The following is a 5,680-nucleotide window of genomic DNA, read 5'->3' on the forward strand; positions in this document are numbered from 1 at the left end:
TTTTAAAAGGTGATTAATTCCAATAACACATTTCTAGCTTCCCGTTGTCTTAGTGTAAATTGGGGAGAATATTTCCTGACCTCATCACAAAGAAGTTGTGAAGGTCAAATGAGCTCTTGTGTATGAAAGGGCTTTGTACATAGCTACTGGCTTCACATAGCCAAGGAGCTTCTGCTCCAGCCCCAGCTACCTGCCTGGCTCAAATACAGCTTATACAACTTGCTAGCTGTGTGAACTTCAGCAAGCTATGTAACTTTTCTGTGGAACTTCAGTTCCATAAAGTGGAAAATGGGGATCATAAATGTACTTAAATCCTGGGGTTGTTTGGTGATGGTTACGTGAGAGGATTCATGCATATTATGAGGTCAGAACATGATTAGGACAGTTTCAGTTTTAAGCCCCCAGTAAGTGCTAGTACAAGTGCAGGGATCAGACGGTGTTTCCCCCTTGAAGTCGGTGTAACCCCCTCACAGGCTCATCTCTCTCTAGCTCGAGGCGAAAGCTAGGTTGTAACCCTTGGGCGTGGTCTGTCACAACTAAGGATGAGGGCGGGTGTAGGGATCCTGGCTGAGCACATGTCTTTTGAGGATTGCCAGGTACTTTTAACAGCTGTTTCTCTTTCTCTAAATAGTGTTCACTGGGCTTGGATTCTCCTTTAATGACTTTATTTCGAATGACTTGTTTATGTCAACTTTTTTCAGTTTGCCGCCTACTTATGCTTAAAGCCACAAAAATACCTCCTTCCTAATCTGGAAAATGGGAATAGTAAGAGTATCTACCCCTGGGGTTGTAATGAGATCAACTGAACTTCTTCCAAAGGATATAAGGAGTATAATATTCTAGGAAGCTTTTGAAAAATAAACTGGAGAAGAAAGCATTTCCAGATGTTACCTTGAACACAGGAAATGAGGTGAGAAGAAACAAAACAAAACATACAATAAAAACCTAACATTCTAAAAATTCAGTAAGTTAGTGATTCTTCCAAATGAGCTCTCCTCTCAAAGTGGTTCTCTGAATTTAAGCTCAATGATGCTGTTGTTGCCCAAAAGGTTTTGGGATTTCTTCTTTCAAAAGGGTTGTTAAGGACCTGTATGTAAATACTAACTCTTCCACTTTATGATAGTCATGACAAATATCTTTCTACTTCACAACTTCTAATTTGATATTGTTATAATTTTTGGTATACAGATGCTTTAAATGATTATTGCAGATAAATCTATGAGTTCTTCCATTGTTTTGTGGTTAGTTCTTTCCCATCCCAAAATCACTTAGCTATCCATTTAGATTTTTTTTTTAACTTCTTTTATAGTTCAGTTTTCACATTTATCTTTTTATCTGGAAAGTATTTCAGTAGACTGCATGAAATGAACATGTAATCTGATTTTTTTTTCCCAAATGGTTGGCCAGTTTTCCTAGTGCCAGTTATTGAATAATCCATGTCTTCTCCATTAGTGATGCTTCATTTATTGGAATATTGAGTTTTCTTTCAGGGCTATCTGTTCTGAAATATTTGTCAATCTTTCCTCAGTAGTTCAATATTATTGTAATTATTATGGCTTTATAATATGTATTAACATCTGGTAGAGTAAATCTCATGTTATTATTCTTTCTTTTCAAAGTATTCTGGCTACTCTGTTTTTTCCTCCAGATGGAAATACATTTTTTCAACTTCTAAAAATGTCCCGTTGGAATTTTAGTTACAATTGCAAATTAAGGGATAGATATCTTTGTCTAGGAGCATAATATATTTCTCAATCTATTCAAATACTTTTGCTTTCATTTTTTTCTCTTTTTCTTTGTATAAATCCCTTTCAGTTCTTGCCAATATTATTTATATGTCAATAGAATCTTTTTAAGACATATATTTGTTCCCAGGTTCCAACACCCCAAAAAAGTTATATTTCCCAATAGGTTATTGCTAGATCAGTAGAAAGTTATTGATTTTAATAATTATTTTATAATAGATTTTCAATCAAGTTTCTTAAGTTTTCTAGGCAAAAAGTATCTGCAAATGCAATTTTTCTACTGCTTTGCAATATTTTCCTTAGTATTTCTGTTTCTTGTCTTATTACAGAATGACTTCAGCATAATTTTAAATAATAGTGGTGAAAGCAGGCATATTTATACCTGCTTTTAATGAAAATGCCTGTCTGTCATTGAGTATGGAAATTTAAAAATATACACAGAAGTAAATGAAAGCCTAATGTGCCTCTCACCTAGCCTCAACAATTATCAACATTTTTGAACACACTTTTAGTGGAATTATAAATTAATGCAGTCTTTTGAATATTAATTTGGAAATAGCTATCCAAATATTGATCTGCAATTCTATTGCTAGGCATTAATCCAACAAGTACACCTGCATCAATGGGCAAAGACATTCAAGGATGCTCTAAATGTATGTAATTGCAGAAAACAAGAAAATAGTCTAAATGGTCCCTAATAGGTGAGTGAAAAATCACGGTTCATTCATATAACTGTACTTAACCACTACGAAAAATTTTGGTAGGTCTATATGTGCTGATGTGGGAAGATGTACAAAGTACTTTATGAAATTAAAAAATAAAAAGCAGGCCAGGTGCAGTGGCTCACACCTGTAATCCCAGCATTTTGGGAGGCCGAGGCGGGTGGATCACCTGAGGTCAGGAGTTCAAGACCAGCCTGGCCAACATGGCGGAACCCCCTCTCTACTAAAAATACAAAAATTAGCTGGGCATGGTGGCGTGCACCTGTAATCCCAGCTACTCAGGAGGCCTTCAGAGAGAAGGTGTAAAGTTAATTTGGCTGTCTTACCAGTACCATTATTATTTTTATAAAATCTTATTAAAAGATACGATGTTGGCTATCAGTTTAACATTTACTAAAAGTTTTTAAAAAATATAGTTGTTTTAATTGGGAATAGGTGCTAGATTTTTATCACTTATCGAGATAATAAGGTTTTTATTCTTATATAATCTAAATGTATTTTTATATAAACTATTTTCCTGGTATTGAAATATCCTGGCATTTCTAGGATAAAATCTACCTGATTGTTTAAAATGACTGACTTTATTGAATTTAATTTGCTGGCATTTTTGGTATTTTGGGGGGAATTCTGGCATTGAGTTTCTTATGTGAACTTTTATTTTTTGAGTGCCCTTTCTTTTTCTTTTTTTTGAGACGGGGTCTTGCTCTGTTACCCAGGCTGGAGTACAGTGATGAGATCATGGCTCACTGCAGCCTTGACCTATCAAGCTCATATGATCCTCCCACTTCATCTTTCCGAGTAGTTAGGACTGCAGGAGCCTACCACCAGCCAGGCCCAGATAATTTTTTACTCTTTGTATAGATAGGGTCTCTTGGAACTCCTGGGCTCAAGCGATCTTCCCCCCTTAGTTTCCCAAAGTGCTGGGATTACAGGTGTGAGCCATCATGCTTGGCGTATACCATTTTTGATAGGTTTTATAATAAAAGTGGTTTCACTCACAAAAAACTTAAATTTTAGTGTCTTTATTCATTTAGAAAGGGGATTTTATGTCTTTCAAAATTTGCAAGAATTTGCCTAAAGCCTCTCTTGGTCTTTAGGCGTTTTAAAATTTCTCCCCTAGCTTTGATCTACTTAGTTTTTCTACTCCTAGATTCAATTTGGGTGATTTATGGTTTTCCAGAAAAAAATGTTTAGCACATAGCTAATTTCACATAGCAGTCTCATATAATTTATAAAAAGTCTCCATGGCAGATCAGGAGGTCAGAAGATCAGGATCATCCTGGCTAACGCAGTGAAACCCCGCCTCTACTAAAAAATACAAAAAATTAGCCGGGTGTGGTGGCGGGCGCCTATAGTCCCAGCTACTTGGGAGGCTGAGGCAGGAGAATGGCGTGAACCTGGGAGGTGGAGCTTGTAGTGAGCTGAGATTGCACCACTGCACTCCAGCCTGGGCAACAGAGCAAGATTGTCTCAAAAAAAAAAAAAAAGTATCCATATCTGTTATATCTCCTTTCTCCTTTATATTTTCTTTTCTTTTTTTTTTTTTTAAATAGATTCATCAGCGATTTCTCCATTTTCTTGATCTTTTTCCAAAGAATTACCTTTGGAGTTGATCAAAAACATTGTTTCTAATCATTAATTTCTGCTCCAAAGTTTCCCTAATCCTCCATTTCTTGGAGTTTAATTTTTAAAAAACCATTAATCAGTTCACTTATTTTTACTCTTTCTAGTTCAATTTTTCCCTGCCAAATGATGTTACTAAACTCAGTGTGGTTTCAAATGACTTGAGTATTTCTAAAAATCTGCTCTCCGAGGAGGAAGATTTGCTATCACTGATGATGTCATTTAAAAGAATGTGACTCAGACTCTTGTGGCAAATTTCTAAAGAATTCTAAAAATGTTTGAGTAATGGGAACACAATTGCAGCAAGCTTATGACCTACTCTGAAGGAGCCAATTTGTAAAACCTGCACGTTTGCTGAACATTATCTGCCCTTATATATTTAGAAATAATCAAGTGCTAGGAATTAAAGAGGAGCTCTCACTTTTGTTTATTGGGATGCCTTCTGATACTGCATGTCTATGACCCAAGATATTCTTAATATTTTTCTTTTTGTGAAAATGTATTTAAACACATCATGTGTACAGCCTGGCTTCATTTTTGCTCCCAACAGAAATTAATCTCAGATGAAACATTTTTCAAAAAAAGATTAAAAACTGTTCACATGCTAGGATGACCAAGTTTTCCTTGCAAAAACCAATTCACTATGATGATGTGGATGAAGGCAGAATGTGTTATTAAAAATAATTAAGTGCTCTGATAGGCCACAATTATAAGCGATAAAAATATTCTCTAATAAAATGTATTGTGCCAATAGAAAGGTAGATTGCAGGTGTGACCTTTGGCAAGGTATGTAGTAGAACTTATTAGAGCCATGTGTTTGTAGATTATGTAACAGTTTTTAAGTGGTCAGGAAGGGGAGGATTTTGTGGTCAGAAAAGTGGAACTGCCCTATTTAACATATGACCCTGGCCATTCCCATCCCAAATTACTGTTGATCAAGTTACAGATAGTTGGGAAGCCCAGGTGAAAGGGAAGCCTAGAATAAGGCCCGACAAAATTGCAATAAACAGTAGGCCACAAAGCCAGTGGCCATTATCATTAAAAACACTTACTGAAGTATTTAATATAGAAAATAATGTCAAGAAAAATTGTTTTGCAAAGCACTATGAACCAGAAATCACTTAAAAAGGCTTTAACATATCCTCCCCTGATGTCTTTAGGAAAGCTAGAACATGACCAAAAACATAAGTAGACCTCCCCAGACTAACAGCTTTATGATCATTATTTGAAAGCATTTTGTTTTGCATTTGCATGCATCTCAGGTTTAAGTTTCCAAATTTTTAAAGCATTTAAGTGCTAATGCTCTAGGAATTTACTCTTGAGAATAAACACCACTAGGAACCAATAAATGGAAGCCCAAACTTTTACTGTCTCTAGCAACTTCAAACAGGGGCATACCTATAAAAATTTATATATTCAGCATTGGTCTCAATTGGGTTGCCTTTTACAGAAGCACTTTAATGGGACAGTAAACCAGAGCCCAGAGGAAACAAAAATCCTAATTTTGTGTTGTGGTTGCCAAATTTTCAGAAAAGCACAGATCTAAAGCCCAAAGGCTGCTAAATTGATTCACATGAACAGAGCCTGAGG

This window comes from Homo sapiens, chromosome 10 (genome assembly GCF_000001405.40).
Source record: "Homo sapiens chromosome 10, GRCh38.p14 Primary Assembly".
Taxonomy (NCBI): Eukaryota; Metazoa; Chordata; class Mammalia; order Primates; family Hominidae; genus Homo; species Homo sapiens.